The 23,132-nt window shown below is 43.3% G+C and overlaps 1 protein-coding gene across 1 annotated transcript in view, besides 12 other annotated features; it reads left to right on the forward strand.

Moving 5' to 3' along the window:
- The window catches only part of IGF2R (insulin like growth factor 2 receptor), a 142,423-nt gene that overhangs the window by 10,226 nt on the left and 109,065 nt on the right, over positions 1-23,132 (forward strand). Inside the window, exon 2 of the mRNA NM_000876.4 lies at positions 11,877-12,016. Coding sequence (NP_000867.3) covers positions 11,877-12,016 — 140 coding nt within the window. The remainder of the gene's footprint in view (positions 1-11,876; positions 12,017-23,132) is intronic.
- Positions 672-1,662: an enhancer, noted in NCBI's record as "H3K4me1 hESC enhancer chr6:160401011-160402001 (GRCh37/hg19 assembly coordinates)". NCBI's record gives its function as "activates a minimal SCP1, AML or CMV promoter by ChIP-STARR-seq in naive H9 embryonic stem cells {active_cell/tissue: H9 hESC(naive)}" and the evidence as "EXISTENCE:reporter gene assay evidence [ECO:0000049][PMID:30033119]".
- Positions 2,495-2,544: an enhancer, noted in NCBI's record as "active region_25397". NCBI's record gives its function as "activates an Ori minimal core promoter by ATAC-STARR-seq in GM12878 lymphoblastoid cells {active_cell/tissue: GM12878}" and the evidence as "EXISTENCE:reporter gene assay evidence [ECO:0000049][PMID:35858748]".
- Positions 2,555-2,664: an enhancer, noted in NCBI's record as "active region_25398". NCBI's record gives its function as "activates an Ori minimal core promoter by ATAC-STARR-seq in GM12878 lymphoblastoid cells {active_cell/tissue: GM12878}" and the evidence as "EXISTENCE:reporter gene assay evidence [ECO:0000049][PMID:35858748]".
- Positions 2,855-3,024: an enhancer, noted in NCBI's record as "active region_25399". NCBI's record gives its function as "activates an Ori minimal core promoter by ATAC-STARR-seq in GM12878 lymphoblastoid cells {active_cell/tissue: GM12878}" and the evidence as "EXISTENCE:reporter gene assay evidence [ECO:0000049][PMID:35858748]".
- Positions 3,772-4,011: an enhancer, noted in NCBI's record as "active region_25400". NCBI's record gives its function as "activates an Ori minimal core promoter by ATAC-STARR-seq in GM12878 lymphoblastoid cells {active_cell/tissue: GM12878}" and the evidence as "EXISTENCE:reporter gene assay evidence [ECO:0000049][PMID:35858748]".
- Positions 3,772-4,184: a biological region, named in NCBI's record as "Sharpr-MPRA regulatory region 15614".
- Positions 3,890-4,184: a silencer, noted in NCBI's record as "tiled region #15614; K562 Repressive non-DNase unmatched - State 14:Gen5'". NCBI's record gives its function as "represses a minimal TATA promoter and a strong SV40 promoter by Sharpr-MPRA in K562 cells {active_cell/tissue: K562}" and the evidence as "EXISTENCE:reporter gene assay evidence [ECO:0000049][PMID:27701403]".
- Positions 5,190-5,484: a silencer, noted in NCBI's record as "tiled region #12427; K562 Repressive DNase matched - State 5:Enh". NCBI's record gives its function as "represses a minimal TATA promoter and a strong SV40 promoter by Sharpr-MPRA in K562 cells {active_cell/tissue: K562}" and the evidence as "EXISTENCE:reporter gene assay evidence [ECO:0000049][PMID:27701403]".
- Positions 8,189-8,763: an enhancer, noted in NCBI's record as "OCT4-NANOG-H3K4me1 hESC enhancer chr6:160408528-160409102 (GRCh37/hg19 assembly coordinates)". NCBI's record gives its function as "activates a minimal SCP1, AML or CMV promoter by ChIP-STARR-seq in naive H9 embryonic stem cells {active_cell/tissue: H9 hESC(naive)}" and the evidence as "EXISTENCE:reporter gene assay evidence [ECO:0000049][PMID:30033119]".
- Positions 16,767-17,653: an enhancer, noted in NCBI's record as "H3K27ac-H3K4me1 hESC enhancer chr6:160417106-160417992 (GRCh37/hg19 assembly coordinates)". NCBI's record gives its function as "activates a minimal SCP1, AML or CMV promoter by ChIP-STARR-seq in naive H9 embryonic stem cells {active_cell/tissue: H9 hESC(naive)}" and the evidence as "EXISTENCE:reporter gene assay evidence [ECO:0000049][PMID:30033119]".
- Positions 17,654-18,539: an enhancer, noted in NCBI's record as "H3K27ac-H3K4me1 hESC enhancer chr6:160417993-160418878 (GRCh37/hg19 assembly coordinates)". NCBI's record gives its function as "activates a minimal SCP1, AML or CMV promoter by ChIP-STARR-seq in primed H9 embryonic stem cells {active_cell/tissue: H9 hESC(primed)}" and the evidence as "EXISTENCE:reporter gene assay evidence [ECO:0000049][PMID:30033119]".
- Positions 19,239-20,438: an enhancer, noted in NCBI's record as "CDK7 strongly-dependent group 2 enhancer chr6:160419578-160420777 (GRCh37/hg19 assembly coordinates)". NCBI's record gives its function as "activates an origin of replication core promoter dependent on BRD2, BRD4, P300/CBP, MED14 and CDK7 cofactors, with strong dependence on CDK7, by STARR-seq in HCT116 cells {active_cell/tissue: HCT116}" and the evidence as "EXISTENCE:reporter gene assay evidence [ECO:0000049][PMID:35650434]".

The raw sequence follows: 23,132 nt of genomic DNA on the forward strand, positions 1-23,132 counted from the left end.
TAGAGTGCCAAGCCACCAGAATAGAAGTGCTAAAGTAGTGAGTTTCCTAGAAGTGGCAAGCCTGAGACTCCAGTGAGTCACCCTCATTGTTCCCCTGAGGCACCCTGCCTCCACCTGCTCTCTGCTCTCGAAGCGTCAGTTATACCAGCACTTCTCTCTTCTCTTTTGTCTCTTTTTACAGTCACCCCTTTAGAGTGACAGGCAGCGTGAGCTCATGGCCTTGACTTTGCTGGACATGCGGAGGGAGAGGAGAGCTGGTGGCAGAGTCGGGGGTTGGGCCCTGAGGATGGGGCTGTTTTATTGGAGAGTCCGCTGTCACCAGGCCTTTCTGTAAAAGGCTGGAAGTGAGCGAGTGAACCAGGCACCCTGGTGGGGGGCCTGCATGTCAGACCCAGCGGGAAGCATGTCTGACTTGGTTGAGAGGCAGCTAAGGGCCCAGTGTGTCTGGGTGGGCTGAGCCATTGGGAGAATGGAGGGAGGGGCCAGAGAGCACGGAGGATTAGCTGTGGCCAGATCACAGAGGCTGTGGGACTTTGGGCTCCCTCTGGGTAAAAGCCAGAGCCCTTGAGGACTTCAGTAGATTGGTGGATTGAAAGGCACATGGGCCGGTGCTGTGGCTCATGCCTGTAATCCCAGCACTTTGGGAGGCCGAGGCGGGTGGATCACGAGGTCAGGAGATCGAGACCACGGTGAAACCCTGTCTCTACTAAAAATACAAAAAATCTTAGATGGGCGCGGTGGCGGGCGCCTGTAGTCCCAGCTACTCGGGAGGCTGTGGCAGGAGAATGGTGTGAACCCGGGAGGCGGAGCTTGCAGTGAGCTGAGATCGCACCGCTGCACTCCAGCCTGGGCAACACAGTGAGACTCCGTCTCAAAAAAGAAAGAAAGAAAGAAAGAAAGAAAGAAAGAAAGAAAGAAAGAAAGAAAGAAAGGTACATGGAAGATTCGATTGCTTGGATTGCCTTAGGGAACTATGAGATCCCTAGGTGAGGGTTGCAGTTGAGCATGGTAGCTGCTTTTCCTCTTCAGGTTGCCTTTAGGCTGCGATGGAGATAGCATGAGCTCTGGAGCAGGACAGGCTTCTTTCTAACATGGGCTTGGCCACTTTGTGAATTTGTGATCAGAGACAAGGTCACGGACCTCACTGGGACCTCCCTAGGCTGTCCATTCTGAGTCTGTAAGAAGGTGGAGAGGGGCAGCCCCAGCTGGGTGTTAGGCTTTGCGGAGCCTCTGCTGTCTGATGTTTGGCTCCAGCATCTTCAAAGCAGGGGCTTTTCTCCTCTGTCCACCTGATTGGCCTTTGTGAGGAACCACCACCTGGCGGTGGCCTCATTAGCATCATGGGCCAGCCAGCTGAGCTGACAGCCCGCAGGTTTTCTAGAAAGGCCCACCTTCCCTTGTAGTTTGCACACTCCAGGAAGGGCCCTGGGTCTGGGAGGGTTTTCTGGGACCTTGGTGACAGGGAGAGTAGGGGGCTGAACATTAAGGTCTGAATTCTGCGCTGGGGGCTGGATTGTCCTTAAAGGCGGTTGGCCTCAGACATCCACATGGCAAAGCAGGGAGTTTAGCCCATCTACAACTCTTCTTTATACATGAGGAGCAAAGTATGAGACCGCCCAGGTAATTGCTCTGATTGGAAGAAAATCATCACGGAGCAGGGTTTAGGGTTGAAATACTGGCCTGCATCCTGTACTGTTGAGTTGATCTGAGCCAAGGATAGCAGAGAGGACCAGCCATTTTTGTGGTAGCTTTCTGTTGTGGAGGGCACTTGCCCACCTCCTGGGAACGCCACACCCTGGTGTGTTTGCCCTTGTTCTGTTTCCCCTGCTGCTCTTCTGCTGGAAGCTCTGGACTCACCTGTCTCTGTTGTGGATGGTGCAGGGCGGGCAGGCCAGAGTGGCATCCTTGTCCTGAGAGGTCCCAGGAGGCAGTTGAGTGTGTATGTGTGCGTGAGTGCGTGTGTGAGTGCACGAGTGTGTGAGTGCAAGTGTGTGTGTCTGAGTGTCTGTGAGTGCAAGTGTGTGTGTCTGAGTGTGTGTGTGTGAGTGTGTTTGTCTGAGTGCGTGTGTCTCTGTCTTCATCAGCTCCTAGGAGATGCCTCCGGACAGGGGCCTGCCCGTCTCTCCCTCCAGTTCCTTGCCAGTGTCATGTGACACTCCTTTCAGAGGGCACCCCCCGCCCCCAGCCAACTCACCTTTTTTTGTAAACTTAGTTTTTAAGCAGTCCAACTCTCTCTCTGGATTCAAATGAAAGCTTTAGATCATAGTCTGTTTCGATAGCTCTGTGTTCCTGGTGGTGGTTTTCTCCTCACAATGACCTTGTAGGCTAGCTGAGTTTTGTCGAGGAAGTTGAGCTGGGAGAGACTGGCTCACACAGCTTGTTAGTCAGCGCTGGGGCAGGAATCTGGCCCAGGCCCTTCATGGCACCTTTCTTAGGGTAGCGTGCCCCCTCTCTATTCCAGGTGACCTCTGTTACGCAGTCCCCATTGCCTGCCCTGGTTCCCTGGGCTCTGACATCAACTTAGATGTCGTGTTTGACTTAGGGCTTCCAGCCGGATCCCTCTCCATACACCGGGCTTCCTTCCAGACCCTGCATACCTCTCAGGGAAAACCAAAGGCTGACGTTTGGCATTTCCCTGCTTCTATTTATTTGTATTTGTCGGCCCTGTATCTTTGTCCACAGCTTTGTGGGTTTGTTAGAATAGGAAGTGAAGTACTTCCTATATAAGCTCTGGCCATGCTGTGTCAAACTCACGTGCTTCCCCAGCCTTCAGCTCGGGGTAGGAGTCTTCATGCAAATCAGATTGTTTCTCTTTTAGTGTAGGCAACAGCAAGTTGTTGACGACAGTGGTTACCTTAGGCTCTTGACATTCTGCTCCCAAGGTCCAGTGTGGGAACCCTGCCTCCTTGCTCCTCTTCCTTGCTGTTTTTTCCCTTTCTCCTTAGTTAAGGAGACTGGTCTGGATTTCTGAAGGTGACTGTGCTGGATATGTATGAGCTGAAACACTGTCTGATACTGTTGAGGGACAGTAGTGAGCCAGGTGATTTCTTGAATACTCTGTTAGAGGACTTGCGTGCATGTCGAAAGTAGGAGAATCTTTTTTGGATGTTCAGGTTGGAAACACTTCACATTCTCTTTGTCTCCAACATGTTAGATTTGTTGCTTGCTGTAGACTCAGAGAAACATTTCTCTAGCTAGTGACCATGTATCTTGTTATGTGAATTTCACTTATGTGTCACCAACTGGGTTTCTGTCTTTTAAGGAAACCAAATTACAGATTCACACGTGCCTACTTTTATTATTACTGATCCCATCCTGCCTTTATCTTGCTTTATTAATTGCAGGCCAGTAGTAAAATGTTTAATAGTTACATGACCATTAGCATAACCCCAAGATTCACAGGGACTGAGGAAACTAAGATATATTTTAAAAGAGTTTGGATATATGGCAATAAATGAGGAAGGGACAGAGTGATACTTCATGGAGATGTTTTGTGTTGAAGGGAAGGAACCCAGTTTTCTAAGATTTATTTTCTTTAAGAGATTGAGCATACCATATATTTTGATCATAGAATTTTACATACTTTAGATGCTAGCTGTTTTTAAAAGGAAAGAACTCCAAATTACATCTTGCAAGCTATTGTGGTTTTGCAAGCATTGAGTGATGGCATATATGAAAACTCTGAGAGGTGTCATATTAAGATACCAATGTCAGTTTAAAGATATTCTATATCTGTATCCCTATGACATTGTATTTTGAATTTTTTATTTTTCATTTTTGGACAGACATTTAGAACTCACTCAGTGGAGATGGCTCTGCATCTCTGTTTTAAGCTTTTTGAACTCTAGGCAGCTGTGTCGGCCTGGGGCTACATTGACTTCTTCATTGCAGCCCCTCGATTGGTTTCGTCTGGACCAGGGTGGGTTTCGATTGCGGCCCTTGCTGGAACAGTAGCAGGAAAGTAGAAACACCTTCCTGTCTCTGGGTTAACCAGCTGACAGTCTGTTACTTGTGTGCTTCCTTCTAATTGGTAATCTGCCAACACCTTTCAGGATATTATGAAATTTCAAGCAAATGAGGTTAAAATGGAACCTCTGTACTTCTGAACAGGCGTGGACTGACTGCAGTTCTCCAGGATAGTTTCAGCAGAAGCAGTGAGATTACAGTCAGGAGCAAAACAGTATCTGAGCTTTCTTTATGGGAAAGATTCCGACTGTGTGCTTGGTTTATATGGTTAAATTAATTGCCCTTGTTAAATTAAAAAAATAGGGTATGTTTCTGCCACAGACTTTGCTTTAAAAGCAGAGATCTTCTAAAGTCATTTGCCTTGTATTTGACTTCTGCTGCTCCCCGTTTCCTGCTGGGCCTGATGGTTTGATTGTAGAATGTTTCTGAGTTGTGTCACTGTTGGACTCTGCTGAGCTGAGTAGTCTCATTAAAGGAGAGTGTGCATCTGAGTTGAGGAAGACAATATAGATGTGGACCTTGTTTGTAGAGTTCACAAGCTGCTTACATAGAAATAGCAAGGACAGTGCAGCCAGTGGGAAGGAGCCGGCTGAGGGACTTGATATTATTTCCATGGAAACCAGTTGGGTATGGGAAGAGAGGTTGTGGAAGGCAATGCTCTGGTGTTTGGCAATTCACACTGTGCAGAAGAGAAAGCAGAACTGGACTGGGAGTATAGAGTAGCAGAAGTTTAAGCTTGGGGAAGAAGTTGAGCAAGGAAAAGCATATGATCTGTTGATCAGCATGATGTGATGTGGTCTGAATCTTCAGACAGTTCACAGCTTTTTCATAGAGGCTGTCCTCAGATGGGTTCAACCATTCTGAGAATTCTGCCTTTACGATATAAGTAGTATCCATGACATTAAAAACGAGAAGAGAAGCGTTTTGGCCAATGACGGACTGCATAAACTACAGTCTGCATAAATGACCTTGGTCCTAGAAGATTAGGATGAAGCTGAACAATTCTTATCACCTAGTGATGCTGTAGCCATTGTAATGTCGTAGCACAATGCATTAGTCACATGTTTGTGGTAATACTGCTGTAAACGAACCCACTGCGCTACCAGTCTTATGAAAGCGTCCAGTCAGGTCCTAGGCCTTTAGGTCCACTCACTCACTGACTCACCCAGAGCCGCTTCCAGTCCTGCAGGCTCCATTCATTATAAGTGCCCTAGGCAAGTGTGCCATTTTAATCCTTTATACCATATCTTTGCTGCACCTTTTCTACGTTTAGATATGTGTCACATGTTACAGTTGCCTGGGGTATTCAGTGCAGCGTCATGCTGTGTGGGTTTGTAGCCTGGGAACAATAGGACATACCATATAGCCTAGGTTTGTAGTAGGCGACACCATCTATGTGTGTGCAGATACACTCGATGATGTTTGAGCAGTGACAGAATTGCCTCATGACACATTTCTGATGACGTATCGCCATTAAGTGAGTGACTATAAACCAGTCCCCCCATCAGCAGTTACACTTCCTGAGGTTTCAGTTACCCATGGTCACTTGCAGTCTGAAAATATGAAGATATTTTGAGAGAGAGATGCCACATTCACATACCTTTTATTACAGTTATAATTGTGCTATTTTATTATTAGTTGTTAATCTTTTACAACTAATTTATAAATTAAACTTAATCATGGGTATGTATGTAAAGGAAAAACCATATCCGAAACCGTATTCCTGGTTCCAGGCCTCTACTGGGGGTCTTGTATCTGTGATTACAAGGTGCTGCGAAGGGATAACTGTAATTTTTCTATATGACTAGCATTTTATTGAATCAAGTTGTGTAGATGGTTGGCAATATAATAGGAACTCAGAGATCTTTATGCCATACAGAGTCTGTCCTTTTAATGGCATTTATTGTGACAAGATTTAAACTAAAGTTTTGTGGAATGTTTTGCCAGTTTTTGTGTTGTAACTGAAACTAAATGTTTTCTGAAAAGTTAAAACCATTTCTTTAAATGGAAAATAAATGAAGCCGTTTACCTAATTGGTTAAGGACTCACCCGTGGGCCTCACACCGCCTAGGTTAATTCTTCACTTTATAATTCCGTGATGTTGGGCAAGTTCCTCATTCTGAGCCTTGGGATATTTGGCTTCAAAGCTGAGGAACTTGGGAGGGTTGGATAATGGCATCACGTTCTGTGGGGAGATTTGGCTCACATGTTAGCTGTGTGGGTGAGAGCCGTGCTGTCATGCGTTCTTAGCCACTGGCCAGTTTCCTTCTCAAGCCATCAGTAGAGATGCTGATCCTGCATCTGCCAGTCATTGCTCCAGGAGGGAAGACATTACTGTCCCAGAGTGACGGTGTCATTGGGGATAACAGACACTTCAGAAAATGCCACCACTGAGCTGTATGAAGTGCCATGGCAGCTAGTGCTGGAGCTGTGGATTCAGCCGGGGAGCACTGTCTGGAGGAGCTGCTGCAGCACATGTGTGTCTCTCCAGCTGTCAGGCTGGCCTTTGGAGTGCATTTGGATTTTTTGAGAATGAGAGAGGGACCATTGGCTAACTGTTTTACGCTCTGAAAAATGACATAGAATAGCAAAGATTTTACTTATTTTTGCTGATTTTCTAGAACATTTTCTGTCCCAGAGTGATGGTTTTGAAGAACCAGCGTTCTTGGAAAGATGGTTTTGCATCCAGAAGAGTGATTTTAACTAAAATCAGGCTGCCTCCCTTGAGGATGGTCACTGAATTTTGTACAACTGGGACAACGGACAGGGATCCTGGGTTGTTTCCAGTGGACAAGCCGCTTCTGTGGGGGCCTTTGCAGTTCTCCCCGCTCCTCTCCTGTGTCCCGCTGGTTTCCTTCAGTTGAGATGGAATACAGCATAGAGTCAGTGACTTTTAGAAGACTTGACAGAGTTTCAGGAAAATGCTCACTGGGCTTTCTTACCTATCCTGCTGCAGAACTTTTTTTTTTTTTTTTTGAGATGGAGTCTCACTCTGTCACCCAGTCTGGAGTGCAGTGGTGCGATCTCGGCTCACTGCAACCTCCACCTCCTGGATTCAAGCTATTCTCGTGCCTCAGCCTCCCGAGTAGTTGGGACTATAAGCGTGCGCGACCATGCCTGGCTAATTTTTGTGTGTGTGTGTGTGTGTGTGTGTGTGTTTTTTTTTTTTTTTTAAGTAGATTCAGGGTTTCACCATGTTGGCCAGGCTGGTCTCGAACTCCTGACCTCAAGTGATCCTCCCACCTTGGCCTCCCAAAGTGCTGTGATTACAGGCATGTGCCACTGCGCATGGCCTGAAGTTCTTTCTTTCAGAAAATGTATTCAACACATTCTTTTGTGTGTGTTTGAGTGAAGACGGTGTTTCCACACAGCTTGCAGATACTTTCTTCCAGAAGCTTGTTTGTTGCTAACATTTAACATCTTACTGTTACAGCTTAGTTTTCTCTTTGATTGAATATATTGATCTCTTTTTTTTTTTTTCTGTTGGCTTTTTTCTTAAGTCTTTACTTGTGTAAGCTCAGATAACTTAGTCTAGAATGTAGGCTTTTTCTGGGAATCTCAGCTGAATGGTTTCATTTGCTTGGCTGTTAAATGAACCATACTGTTTGGAATAGTTTCCTAATTCTGGCTGTACATGTTCACTTCAGGTAGAGAATTTTCTAACAGACAAACTTTCAGACAAAAAATTTATTATTCCTCAAAGATATCATTACATTTTATTTAGTCTGTAATAATTTTATTGCTTCTGAAACCATTTTCTAGTTCTATAATGTGATCATGGTGCTTTTAAACTTTAATATCAAGTTAATTTTAAGAATGATTTTAGCTTAGGCCATTCTAGGGGCTTGGCCTTTAATCTGAAAAGAAATTTAGAATCCTTTAGTTTCAAACATGTGATTTCTTAAAACTTGTTGTCAGTTATTTATACGATTTTCAAGTTTATTATGAAATAGTCTTTAAAAAATATTTACTTTAGTGGAAACATATCTAGTGATAGTTTAACCAGGGTGCATACCAGAGTACATAATAGTTTTTGGAATATTCTTCATAAATTTTCAGAGAGATTATTTAAACCACATGACTGTTTCTGAGCTCCTGTTGATACTAGGGGCTAGGCATATTCGTTTTTTCTTTTTGAGACAGAGTCTCGCTGTGTTGCCCAGGCTGGAGTGCAGTGGCACAATCTCAGCTCACTGCAACCTCTACCTCCCAGGTTCAAGCGATACTCCTGCCTCAGCCTCCCTAGTAGCTGGGACTATAGGCGTGCACCACCACGCCCGGCTAATTTTTGTATTTTTAGTAGAGACGGAGTTTCACCATACTGGTCAGGCTGATCTTGATCTCCTGACCTCGTGATCTGCATGCCTCAGCCTCCCAAAGTGCTGGGATTACAGGCATGAGGCACCACGCCCTGCCATTAGTTTGTTTTAAAGGAGACATAATGTCCGTTGAAACATCAGAATGTTTTAAGTACTGACAGCTTGCAGGTGTCTTTGGAGTGAAGTTTAGAAACCTGCTGTGACCATTCTTCATTTTAAAGCTGTGACTAAGAACTCTGAGATATTGGTGCCTTCGCCTCAAGTGCTGCTGATGGGTTTGAATGGCATTGAGGTTGCCAGGCCTGGAGGAGGGCTGCCTTGTGCTGAGTGGTTAAATCACCCCCCTGAAAAAAGTCAGTGTTTCAAGTATTTTAATAGGCTCCTCCTTTCCTACTCCCATAACCACTTACATTTGATAAATCTTGACAAAACAAGTATGAAATCCAAGTAGAGAAAATAATATAATTGAATAGAGCAACACTTTTCTTTCTAGCAACCCTGATTTCCAGATTATCAGGACAATATCCCTCATTTTATTCTTTTTTAAATCTTGATTCTGCTCCCCAAGCAAACACACTCTTTACCTTATTTAGATATCCCCTTTGCAAGAATGGTGGATTTCTTTTAAGAAAAGCATAGCAGGCCGGGCGCGGTGGCTCACGCCTGTAATCCCAGCACTTTGGGAAGCTGAGGCAGGCGGATCACGAGATCAGGAGATTAAGACCATCCTGGCTAACATGGTGAAACCCTATCTCTACTAAAAATACAAAACATTAGCTGGGTGTGGTGGTGGGTGCCTGTAGTGCCAGCTACGGGAGGCTGAGGCAGGAGAATGGCGTGAACCCGGGAGGTGGAGCTTGCAATGAGCGGAGATTGCGCCACTGCACTCCAGCCTGGGCGACAGAGTGAGACTCCGTCTCAAAAAAAAAAAAAAAAAAAAAAAAGAAAAGCATAGCATTTTAGGTACGTGTGGATCTCTTTAGCGTTGATTCCTACCAGTTAACTCATTTTAAATGACACCCTCATGCACCAATATCATATACTTAGGATTGTGAAATAGTTTAATGATGCCACTGCCGCTACTTGAAGTTTGTCTCTGTTATCCTGGAGAAACTAGTCATGGCTCCTGAATAAGAGATTAGCATTTTTCCTGAGTAGTAGCCAAGTCTTTGTTTACTTGTTTATCTTGTATCCTGCAACCTGGAATATACACTCCGAGAGGGCAGGGCGTCTTTGTTTTGTTCATTGCTGTACTCTCCTGTGCCTCCCGCAGTAAGTACTTAAGAAATACTTGTGAAACACATGAATAAAGGTTAACGAAGGGCAAAGGAAACAAGCCTTTATTGATGATTTTTCTCTGTGCCCAGTAATACTTGGGTTATTTTCTCATGTCCTTGAGTCATCTTGACTCTAGGAGACACCTCTTAACATGTTCCTGCTGAAAAAGCTGAGCTGAGGAGTCATACCCCGAGGGTATCACCCTAAGATTGGGCACCTGAGTACCCCAGCCTGCTCTTCAGGTCTGTAGCTGCTTAGTGGCTATCAGACCTTCCAAGTCTCCATGCTTTTGAAGGCCTATGTGTGCGGTTTGGTTTCTTGGCAGGGGGGTTTGATGGGTTCCCAGACCTAGGAGTTCTTGGCGCCTCGTCTTCCAGTGACCCCACCAGGGCTGCTCTTTCTCCTCCATTGCTGAAACTAGTTCAGGGTTGGGGAGGAGGGCACGTGGGGGGGCCTGGTGGTTGGTTTTGTGCTGAGTCATTGCCTTGGTGCACTGTGGAAGGAAGCTCTGGGAGGTGGACGGCTCCTTCTGTGAGGGAGTGCTTCTGTCGTCAAGGGAGTACTGCATAGGGTGAATAACACAGTTATGTAGATATATATGGTGGTCTTACCCCCAGGGCCTCCACAACTCCTGGATGGGCCTAGCCTAAGCAATTCTGATTTAACTTATTGCCCCTCCTTTTAGCAATACTGTTGAGTTAAATAACAGTTTTTGCATTGAAAATAAAAAAATTTTATTTTTGTAGAGATGGGATCTTGGTATGTTGCCCAGGCTGGCCTGAAACTGCTGGCTTCAAGTGATCCTCTGGCCTTCGCCTCCCAAAGTGCTGGGATACAGGCACGAGCCACTGGCCAGGTCTTTATTTTTTGCATTTTGCAAGGACATTTTAAGTCACTTTCTTCCTTTTCTGTTTTTACTCCTGCTGAGGAGATGATCCCCATTTTACAAAATGGACAAAACATTCTCCCCAGGGAAGGGAAGAGTAGACATTTGAGAATAATTGTTTTCACAGAACCGGGAAACCACCTATTTTGTCCCAAGTATACTGATTGATGCATTAGCAATAACTCACTATCTGCTTTGCCAGAGGTTTGAACAATGAGTGTTAATGCTTGGTGTAGTGAATTTTGTGTGATTTCGAATCTGATAGCTGACTCATTGCACAGCTCTGTCTTGCGAGTTCAGATCTGAACTGTAGCTCTAAGAGGTAAAAGCAGAAGTGGAGCTGCCTTTCATGCCATAGCTAGTTTTTTAATAAAATAGAGTTAAAAAATCCTTTGGCTTTTCAGCATTTTGGTGTGATTGGAAAGGCTATTACTATCTTATATTCAGCATGAGTCTTGAGCAATTACTGATTAATATGATTTGGCTGTGTCTCCACCCAAATCTCAGCTTGTAGTTCCCATAATCCCCATGTGTTGTGGGAGGGACCTGGTGGGAGGCAATTGAATCATGGGGGCGGTTACCCTTATGCTGTTCTCGTGGTCATGAGTGAGTTCTCACGAGATCTGATGGTTTTATAAGGGGCTTTTTCCCCTTTTGCTCCGCACTTCTCCTTGCTGAAAAAGAATGTGTTTGCTTCCCCTTCTGTCACGATTGTAAGTTTCTTGAGGCCTCCCTAGCCATGCTTAACTATGAGTCAATTAAACCTCTTTCCTTTATAAATTACCCAGTCTTGAGTATGTCTTTATTAGCAGTGTGAGAACAGACTAATACACTGATCTGAGTTGATATTCTTAAATTAATGGTAAGATATTTCTTTTTTTTTTTTCTTTGGAGACAGAGTCTCGCACTGTTGACCGAGCTGGAGTGCAGTGGCACGATCTCGGCTCACTGCAACCTCCGTCTCCCAGGTTGAAGCAGTTCTCCTGCCTCACCCTCCTAGGTAGCTGTAATTATAGGCGTGTGCCACCACGCCCAGCTAATTTTTGTATTTTTAGTAGAGATGGGGTTTCATTATGTTGGCCAGGCTGGTCTTGAACGCCTGACCTCGTGATCCACCCACCTCGGCCTCCCAAAGTGCTGGGATTACAGACGTGAGCCACCATGCCCAGCCAGATACTTCTATTTTGATAATCTTTGAGTCCTGAGGTAGCTTCAGAATGGATTGAACCACAGACAGATGGTGTTAGTAGTTTCTGCCCTGGCTTCTTTGCAACTTAACATACTTGACTTTTTAGTGTTTTTGGCTAAGGAAAGTGTATTTTCTAGTTTGTGGCAGTTTTAAGCAAATGTGGCTTGAATAAAACTAGAGAGAAGTTTAATTTTTGATAAATCAGTGACATTGACAAGTTGTTTTTCTTCCTTTCCAGTTATACATGGGAAGCTGTTGATACCAAAAATAATGTACTTTATAAAATCAACATCTGTGGAAGTGTGGATATTGTCCAGTGCGGGCCATCAAGTGCTGTTTGTATGCACGACTTGAAGACACGCACTTATCATTCAGTGGGTAAGTAGAACTACCTGAAATTACTGGATTGGCAATATGATTCCCCAATTTTGCAAAAATGACTGTGTATAGCTATACGTATATAGCGATACAAAAATTTTGAATGTTTAGAAATCATAAGTGTTTATAATACATAATACACATTTGTTAGTAGTTAAAAATGCTAACGGTTTGAATGTCTAGTATGAGCTAAAACTAGGTTGGTTCTGTCTAGTGGATACTATACAGACAGCTGTTATGAAGAATTATGTAGATGTGTATTTGATATTGAAAGCTGTCTCCTAGATGGCTCTCCCTTCTCACCCACACTTTTCTTAAACCCTGTTTTTACATTCTCCCCCAGCCCACATTTCCTTTTAGTGCTCCCCCGACTCCCATTCCTTTGTACCTTCCAGCTTTGGCTGTAGTTCCCAGACAGTGTTTCTGCTGTCAAAGATGGTCACTGGAGTTAGGCTTACATTAAAGGTTAAATAAATAGTCCTGAGGATTGGCAGTCTCAGAGAAAGAGGTGCAGCCCCTTCTTTCCTAGGGTTCGTTTCATTCCCCAAATGTATGCCTTTTGGGTCAGGATCGCTATCCTTCTGTGAAGAATATGAATCCAAGTGGATTAATATATCAGCACCAGGTTACATAGAGTGGAGTCAGGGCAGATGCCTGAAGGAAGGGAGGCAGGGCAGACAGAAAAGCAGAATGCATTGCCCTTGGATTTGGCAACATGGATGTCCGTGGTGACCTTTCACTAAGGCAGTTAGAATAATGAGGTTTGACCACAATGGATGCTCGTGACATAGAGATGGTATATGACTAGGGACTGTCTGATAACTAGAAGAAGATGCTAGGTGGGCTTTTGGATTTGGGAGAGAAGCTTACTGTGGTAGCTCTGTCATTTTCTTTTGTGTTTTAAACATTTTAATATTTTTATAGATTTGGCAGTTCAAGTGCAGTTTGTTACATGGATATATTGCATAGTTGTAAATCTGGGTTTTTAATACCCGTCACCCGAATAGTGTACATTATACCCAGTAGATAATTTCTAATTCCTCACCCCCCAACCTTTCTGAGTCTCCAGTGTCTGTTATTCCACTGTCCGTGTCCATGTGTACCTATTATTTAGTTTCTACTTATAAGTGAGAACATGTGGTATTTGGTGTTCTCTTTCTGAGTTATTTTACTTAGGATAATGTGCTATTGTTCAATTCATGTTGCTGCAAAACATGTGATTTCATTCTTTTTTATGGCCAACATGTGGAATTTGTCCATAGAAAAGAATGAAATCACACACACACACACACACACACACACACACAAACACACACCACATTTTTTGTTATCCAGTCATCCATTGATGGACACTTAGGTTTATTCCATATCTTTGCAATTATGGATAGTGCTGTGATAAACATATGAGTGCAGGTGTCTTTCTGATGATTTTTTTCCTTCAAGTATATATTCAGTAGTGGGATTGCTGGATGGAATGGTAGTTCTATTTTTAGTTCCTTGATAGATCTCTATACTGTTTTCCATAGAGGACATCCTAATTTACATTCCCACCAGTGTATGTAAGCATTCCCGTTTTTCTACGTTCTTGCCAACATCTTTTGCTTTTTGACTTTTTAATAATTGCCATTCCAGTGGGTATAAGATGGTGTCTCATGGTTTTAATTTGCCTTTCTCTGATGATTAGGGATGTGGAACATTTTTACATATGCTTGTTGGCCATTTGTATGTCTTTAGAGAAATGTCTGTTCATGTCCTTTGCCCTCTTTTTAAAGGGGTTCTTTTTTTCTTTTTGAATTGTTTGAGTTCCTTGTAGATTCTGGATGTTAGTCCTTTGTCAGATGCACAGTTTGCAAATATTTTCACCCATTCTGTAGGTTTTCTGTTTACTCTGCTGTGCAGAAGCTTTTTAGTTTAATTAAATCTTACTTGGCTATTTTTGTTTTGTTGCATTTGCTTTTGAGGTTTTAGTTATGAAATCTTTGTCTAGGCCAATGTCCAGGAGAGTGTTTCCTGGGTTTTGTTCTAGAATATTCATAGTTTCAGATCTTACATTTAAGTCTCCAACTTTTGTATATGGTGAGAGATAGGGTTCTAGTTTCATTCTTCTGCATGTGGCTGTCCAGTTTTCCCAGCACCGTTTATTGAATAGGGTGTCCCTTCGCCAGTGTTATGTTTTTGTCAACTTTGTCAAAGATCAGTTGGTTTTAAGTATGTGGCCCTGACTCTGGGTTCTCTATTCTGTTCCATTGATCTGTGTGCCTATTTTTATATCAGTACCATGCTGTTTGATTACTATAGCCTTCAGGTATAATTTGAAGTCAGGTAACATGATGCCTCCAGCTTTGTTCTTTTTGTTTAGGATTGCTTTTGCTATTCAGGCTTTGGCTACTCATATGGTTCCATATGAATTTTAGGATTGTTTTTCTAATTCTGTGAAAAATGACATTGGTACTTTGATAAGAATTGCACTGAATCTGCAGATTGCTTTGGGCATTATGGTCATGTTAACAATACTAATTCTTCTAGGCCATGATTTTTGCATCTGTGTTCATTAGGGATATTGGCCTATAGTTTTCCTTTTTTGTTGTGTCCTTGCCTTGCTTTGGTGTTAGGGTGTTACTGGCTTCATAGAACAAGTTAGGGAGGATTCCCTCCAACTTGATTTTTTTTTTTTTTTTTTTTTTTTTCAGGGAGTAGTCTCAGTGGGATTGGTACCAGTTCTTTGTACCTTTGGTAGAATTTGGCTCTCAATCTGTCTGGTCCTGTGCTTTTTCTTGGGAGATTTTTAAAGTACTGATTCAATCTCACTCCTTTTTACTGGTCTTTTCAGGATTTCTGTTTCTTCCGATTCAATCTTGGGAGGTTGTATGTTTCCAGGAATGTATCCATTTCCTCTAGGTTTTCTAGTTTTTGAGTGTAGAGATGTTTATAGTAGCCTCTGATGATCTTTTGTCTTTCCATAGTATCAATGTCTACTTTTTCATTTCTGATTGTGCTTATTTGAATTGTGTCTCTTCTTTTTTTGGTTAATTTGAGTAGTAGTCCATTGATTATGTTCATCTTTTCAAAGAACCAACTTTGTTTTGTTGATCCTTTGCATTTTTTGGGGGGGGTCTCAATTTCGTTTAGTTCTGCTCTGATTTTTGTTATTTCTTCTGTTAGGTTTCAATTTGGTTTGTTCTTTTTTTTTTCTAGTGCCATGAGGGTTACATTAGGTCATTAATTTGTGATCTTTATTTTTGATGTAGGCATTTAGTGCTATAAACTTCCCTCTTACCGCTGCTTTGCTGTATCCCAGAGGTTTTGGTCCATTGTGTCTCTATTTATATTCATTTCAAAAAATTTTTACATTTCATCCTAACTTTGTCATTGACCCAAAGGTTATTCAGGAGCAGGTTGTTTAATGTTCATGTATTTGTGTAGTTTTGAGAGTTCTCCTCTTGGAATTGATTTCTAGTTTTATTCCGCTGTGATCTGGAAAGATAGTTGATATGATTTCAGTTTTTAAAAATGTACTGAGACTGTTCTGTGGCCTAACATATGGTCTACCCTGGAGACTGTTCCATGTGCTAAGAGGAATGTATGTCCTGTGGTTGTTGGGTAGAATGATCTTTAAATGTCTTTTAGGTCCATTTAATCCTGAGTCCAATTTAAGTTCAGTGTTTTATTGTTGATTTTCTGTGTTGATGATCTTTCTAGTGCTTGTAGTGAGGTGTTGAAGTCTCTCATTATTATTACATTGCTGTCTATCTCCTCTTAGGTCTAGTGGTAATGATTTTATGAATCTGAGTGCTTTGGTGTGGGGTGCATTTGTATTTAGGATGGTTATATCTTGTTGAATTGATCCCGTTATCATTATTTAATGGTCTTTTTTTTTTCTTTTTTAACTATTATTGACTTAAAAGTCTCTTTTATCTAAATGTTGCTTCTCCCGCTCACTTTTGGTTTCTATTTGCATGGAATATCTTTTCCTACCTATTTACCTTGAGTCTTTGTTTTTACCAGTTAGGTGGTTTTCTGTAAGCAACATATGGTTGGATCATTTTTTTTTTTAAATCTAGTTCACCAATCTATATCTTTTATGTAAAGGATTTAATTCATTTATGTTCAGAGTTAATATTGATATGTGAGGTTTTGTTCCTGTCATAGTGTTAATTGTTAACTAGTTGCTTTTTAGTGTCAATTGTATAATTATTTTATAAGATGTGAGTTTTATACCTTTTGTCTGACTGGGTTAATTCAAACCTGTCTTTAAGCTATTAGATTCTCTTTTCTGCTGGTCTAGTCTGCTGTTCAAGCTTTCAACTGTATTTTGTAATTCCTACAATGAATTTTTCATTTCTGGAATTTCTGTCTGGTTTTCTAAAAAATAGCTTTCTCTAGTAAAATTTTAATTTAGATCCTATATTTTTCCGATTTCTTTGTGTTGGTTTTTTGACTTTCTCTTGGATCTTATTGCGCTTCTTTAAAATCAATATTTTGAATTCCTTAGCTGGTATTTCAAGGATTTCATTTTCTTTAGGGTCCACTGCTGGAGAGTTAGTGTGAGTCTTTGGGGATGTTGCAGCGCTCTTTTTTTTTTTTTTTTTTTTAATACTTCTAGAGTTGTTACTCTGTTTCATTCTCATCTGGATAAACTATCTCTTCTTTATTTTTGAATTTACTTTGGCAGGATTTTTTTTTTTCCCTTGAGAATGTGAATATAACGTATGTTGTATATAGTTGTTTGACTTCAGTTCTGGGTACTTTCAGTGACAGAGACTCTGAGTTTCTTGGTTATAGTTGGCCTTTTTGTGGTAGCTTTCTCAAATGCTAGTGATAGTAATGATGTGCTTGGGTGTGTGAGCAGGATCCTCACCGTCTCCCGCGGGGCCTGGAAGGCAGAGTTCTCAGGAAGTTATTTTGTTCTCCCTTGCTTTGCACTTTGGCAGCAGAATTTATATTGGGTTGTGCAGGCCAGCAGGTGGTATTTATGGGTAAAAACCAGCTGCAGTGGAATCCGATGGGTGGGTCTATGAGTCTCTGTGCTTGACCTTTGTTTAATGGGGGAAGCTCTGTTGCTTCAGGCAGTGGAGTGGTCTGTGGAATGCACAGTGGCCTGAGCTACCTGCTCAGCCCCTGAGTGGGGGACAAAGCTGGACAGAACTGAACTGCCAGTTCTTCTCTTGGATACTCCAGTGGCTCAAGCACCAGCCCTAACAGGGGTAGCAGGGGTAGCTGTGTAGAAGGTGCCAAGGTGTCTGCGGGGAGGTGTGGGGGTTGCTCCAGCTCCATGGCCTGGGCAGGTGGGAGCACAATCTGCCTCCCTGTCACACCCCGTCCTGGCGCTGGGAATATTCAGAACATGAGAATATCGCTGTCTGTCTCAGGCTGCAGTGTAGTGAGTGCTACGAGAGACACCTGTCCATGGCTTACCACCAATGTGTCTTCTGTAGTGAGCCTCCTCCCTCAACCCAAAGCACACACATTTGTAGCTCTCCTGCTCTTTGCCGCAGGAATGCTGTGGGTCCGTGTAGAGAGGGTGAGGCCCCACCTTTCGTGCAAGTCCTGGCTCAGTGGAAGTCGTGCAAGTCCACTGCCAGTGGAAATGCAGCTTCCCCTAACAGCCACAGAATGGCCACTGTCCTGTGTGCCTGTGCCAACCTGTGGGAGCAGCCATGACTGTGCCCACAGCAGTGGGTAGAGGGTGGGGGAGGAGAAGTCCTACTACCCACATCCGTGCCCAAGCACTGAGACCACCTGGCTCCTGGGCTGGAAGCATACTCCTCCCTTGCAGGGCTGAGTACAGCACCCCTGTCTCCACTGCATGTGGCACAGGCCACAAGCCATGCTCCTGGGCACAGGAAAGTGCATGCTCCTTTGTCCCAAGGAGTGCCCCCTTGGCATGCTGTACTCTTTCTTCCCTTAGGAGCAGCACTCCCTGAGGGTAGATCTCTGGGAACCCTGCAGCTCCCCTGGGTCCAGCCAGCCCTGTGTGGCTGCTGCAGTCTCAGCAGGTGCCAAGAAAGGTCTGCAGGGCCTCTGGTGATACGGAGACATCAGTGCTGAGCTTCCCCAGGCAGTCCTCCCACTGCTGCCGCCACTGCCACCCAGGTCCAGTGGAGGGTGAGCAACCTGGCATAAGTGGTAGTCTGATGTAATGCCCTCAGGAAGTCCCCAAATTGCTGCCCGCACCAGTGTTTGGGTTTGTGAGGGCAGAAAAGCTCTCCCACAGTTCGGGTACCAGCAGTCGACCACAGAGGTGAGGGGCAGCAACAGCATTCCCGCCACCCCTTTCAAAGGAATACCAAGTCCCTCAGGGCTCCTAGCCGCTCTCTGCCCCTCTCGTTTCCTGCTTTTTATTTTTTGCCCTCGTTTCATCCCAGGGGTTCTCCACCAGGCTCCAGTGCTCTCCACTTGATACTCCATTCTGGCGACGGTTGCTCACCTGTAACTTGGGTTCTTCTGAGAACCGGCCTCTGGCAACTCTGTTCAGCTGTCTTGAAACAAAAGAAACCCCCACTTGTCATTTTGCATGGAAATTGCTAAACACAGTTAAAAGAGCTTTGTAGAAAGCAGTGTTTAGAGTACGAAGATAAGGGAGTGCGAGGTCTGCTGATTGAGGCCCAGCTCCTGTTTGATTTCCCTCTCTCTCTACAAAGAGACCATCCAGACTGAAAAACCTGGTGAGAGGGATTTGAGGCCTGGGATTGAGATCTGAGAAAGCACTAGATTGTTGTGAATTCTTGGGTCTGACATTATCCTTGGTGATATACTTAGGAAACTTACAGGTGAGATGGCCAGTTTACTCATTGTGCTCTTTTGAGAACTCACAGAGAAAGGCCACAAGTAATTCTGTTGGCCAGTGTTATGTAGGTGTTCAGAAAGAAGGAAAAGTAGCTTTCTTCTTGATTTTATTATAATACTTCAATATTTTTGGCTAATGAAAGTATGTCTTGAGTTTATGGTAGTATAGTATGGTATGGTATAGTGTAATACCACATAGACTGATGCCAGATGGAGGCAACTTACTTGAAGGATAATTTGTGAGCTTGGCCTCACTGGACAAAGTTTGAGTTTGACCAAGTTCTGTGGACCTTGAAAGCCAGGGAGGAGAAGAGTTGTTATTTTTTTGTAGGGAGTGGATCCATTACAGATCTTTTGTGATGGTAACGGGGAGGTGATGTGATGGAAGGTGTTTTTAGGAAGCTGGCCCCGTGGAATAGGAAACGATGCCTACAGGGGAGATACCAAAGATAACTAGATGACTAAAAAGTAACTTACAGGTTAAGATGATGATGATACTATTATAAACCAGCAGTTTCCAATCTCATTTTTTCCCCCAGATATGTGTGACAGATCCCTTTCCCAGAGCTTGAAACTTCCAGAGGGAGTCATCATATATACTTTCAGGACTCTCAGTAACGGCTCCCTTTCTTCAACTGGAGAGAGCAGTTTGTATGAGTCAATGAGAGTGACATTCACAGTAGCATAGGGATAATCCCGAATCAAATCTAATTTGCATATACAATAAAAATACCTAAATTTTGTTGCACATTCATGTGCTAGGCCTAATGTTTAAAAGTAAAATATCTCATTTAATTCATTCAACAACCCTTTAAAGTAGGTGATTTCATTTCCCTCATGTTATAAATGAAGAAATGGAAGCGCAAAATGGATCTGTGTTCTACAGTGGGCAGGTCTGTGCAAATCTGCCCCCGAAGTCCAAGGAAGTTGAGAGGCTGAAGAAGGAGGCTGACACCCAGTTTCTCAGAAAGAAACATTTAATACGGACTTATGAATAGAAGCCACATCTCAAGAAGTCACGAGATGGGATGGATCCCTCTGCCATCACCCACTCCAGACCCAGGGATCATACACCATAGGGAAGGGGTGGTTCAGAAGGAATGTGTAGGACAATTGAAGTAGGTTTTTTGACCTAAGGGGAGGATTCGTGATAATTACCTGCTCTTACACAAGGAACAGTAGATAAACTGGAAATCTTGGAGGCCTTCCTGGAACTGGGGTTAATCGGAAGTCAGCAGGGCTGTTTGGCCTCCAGAATGGCGTTACTTTAGCCTCCACAATGAGCACCTTGCTGGAGGTGGTGTGGTTATGGATTTGAATGTGGACAGCCGGCTCCAGAGCCTGTGTACTCACTCAGGGCTGTGCTTTTGTGTGAGTCATGGGGTCACATCAGACAGATTGGAGCTGAAATGGAGACCAGGATGGGAGATCTGAATGTGTGGCTCTGAGAGGACATCTGAGAACGAACTTCTTTTGATCTTGTTAGAAAGGAAAAAATGTGAACCTTCAAAACAACCACAAGAACTGGAGCTCCCCGCAGATCAGAGGAACAGAAGAGCTAGCATAGAAATAGATCCAAATATGTATGGGAACTTAAGATAACTTACAACCAAAAAATTGGGTGTAAGTAGCTATTGTCTCTTACGAAACAAAGTTCAATCCCTCCTTTAGATCACATACTGAAATTACAGCTCAGTTAAGATTTGAAAGTAAAAAGACAATAGAACATTGGAAAAAAAATTAGTAACATATAGATATAATCTAGAAGAGCCTTCCTTAAGGAATCCTGGAAGCCATACAGGAGAAGAGGAACATTTCTTATTACATACCTTTTAATGACTAAAAGGTGTTCTAAAGACAAAAGACATACACTAGACTGGGAAAAACATTTCCAGCATGTTTGCCAATGTACTATTAGGATGAGAGCTTTTCTTAAAAATTGGTAAGAAAGACAGACACCCAGGAGAAAAATGGCAAAGTCAAAGAACAGGTAATTCACAAAAGAAGAAATCCAGATGCTCAATACAACTTCACTAATAAGCCAGGTGGATTAGTCCTTTCTCACATTGCTGTAAAGAACTACCTGATACTTGGTAATTTATGAAGGAGAGAGGTTGGATTCACAGTTCTGAAGGCTGTGTAGGAAGCATGGCTGGGGAGGCCTCAGGAAACTTAAAATCATGGCAGCAGGTGAAGGGGAAGCAGGCAGCTTCTTCACATGGTGACAGGAGAGGAGTGGGGCGGTGCTACACACTTTCAAACAAGCACATCTAGTGAGAACTCTTATCACGAGACAGCACTTGGGGATGGTGCTACACCATTGGAAACCAGCCCCGTGATCCAGTTACCTCCCACCAGGCCCCACCTCCAACACTCGGGATCACAATTCATCATGAGATTTGGGTGGCGAGACAGAGCTAAGCCGCATCACCAGGTATAAATGCAAATCAGAGCAATTATGAGATCTCATTTTTCTTTGAGAAGTTGGCAGAAATTTAAATGGTTGAATCATAGAGTGCTGGCAAGGAGCCTGGAAATGGGCACATTTATTTATACGTTGCTGTAGGAAGACGGTTGTCTCTAAATCCTTTTGGGAAGATAATAGTTGGTGTGAGGTTGTTTTTTTTTTTTTTTTTTTTTTTTTGAGACAGAATCTTGCTCTGTTGCCCAGGCCGGAGTGCAGTGGCGCCATCTTGGCTCACTGCATCCTCCGCCCCCTGGGTTTAAGCGATTCTCCTGCTTCAGCCTCCTGAGTAGCTTGGATTACGGGCACCACCATGTCCGGCTAATTTTTTTTTTGTATTTTTAGTAGAGATGGGGTTTCACCATGTTGGCCAGGCTGGTCTTGAACTCCTGACCTCAAGTGATCCACCCGCCTTGGCCCCCCAAAGTGCTGGGATTACAGGTGTGAGCCACCACGCCTGGCCTGGTATGAGTTTTAAAGTGCCCTGAAGCAGGGGTCCTCAACCCCCGGGCCACAGACTGGTAGCGGTTTGTAGCCTGTTAGGAGCTGGGCTGCACAGCAGGAGGTGAGTGGTGGGTGACAGAGTGAAGCTTCGTCTGTATTTACAGCCGCTCCCCATTGCTTGCACTACTGCCTGAGCTCTGCATCCTGTTAGATAAGTGGCAGCAGTAGATGCTTATAGGAGCGCGAACCCTATTGTGAACTGCACATGCAAGGGATCTAGGTTGTGACCCCTTATGAGAATCTAGTGCCTGATGATTTGTCAGTGTCTCCCATCACCCCCAGATGGGACCATCTAGTTGCATGAAAACAAGCTCGGGGCTTCCACTGATTCTGCACTGTGGTGTGTTGTATAATTATTTCAATTACATATTACAATGTAATAATAATAGAAATAAAGGGTACAATAAATGTAATATGCTTGAATCATCCCGAAACCATCCCACCCCCAGTCCAAGTCCATGGAAAAACTGTCTTTCATGAAACCAGTCTCTGGTGCCAACAAGGTTGGGGGCTGCTGCCCTAAAATTTTTTATAGTGAGAAACAAATATTAAGACCTCAATGCTGGTTTAAACAATATTACATTATTTTAAATTGAGGAATCATACATTATCCACACATCCAAGGAGCTCAGAAGAAATTAAAAAAATCATACATTAGTTTTTCCTTAGGCAAACAATATTACATATGTGAATCTTAGCAAATGTTAGCCATCATTTTCATAGGGCCTGTGAACAATATTTGGTCCCATTTGCAACCTAATTATTTTCACATTTTAAAGTGGTTTATACATTTTATATGCATTTGACCCTTGAACAACGCTAGAGTTAGGGGCACCAACCCCCTGCACAGTTGAAAATCCACATTTAACATTTCACTCCCTCTAACCTTAGCTGCTAATAGCCTGCTGTTGATGGGAAGCTTTACCAGAAACATAAATAGTCGATCAACACATATTTTGCATGTTATATGTATTAAGTACTATATTCTTACAATAAAGTAAGCTAAAGGAAAGAAAATATTAAGAAAATCAGGCCGGGTGTGGTGGCTCACACCTGTAATCACAGCACTTTGGGAGGCTGAGGTGGGAGGATCACTTGAGCCCAGAAGTTTGAGACCAGCTTGGACAACATAGTGGAACCCCATCTCTGCAAAAAATAAAAAAATTAGCCAGGCATGGTGGTGCATGCCTGTAGTCCCAACTACTTGGGAGGCTGAGGCAGGAGGATTGCTTGAGCCCAGGAGGTGGAGGCCTCAATGAGCTGTAATCAGGCCACTGTACTCCTGCCTAGGTAAGAGAGTAGTGAGAGCTTGTCTCAGGAAAAAACAAATGATAAGGAAGAGAAAATTATGTTTATTATTCA

Source organism: Homo sapiens, chromosome 6 (assembly GCF_000001405.40).
Source record: "Homo sapiens chromosome 6, GRCh38.p14 Primary Assembly".
NCBI lineage: Eukaryota > Metazoa > Chordata > Mammalia > Primates > Hominidae > Homo > Homo sapiens.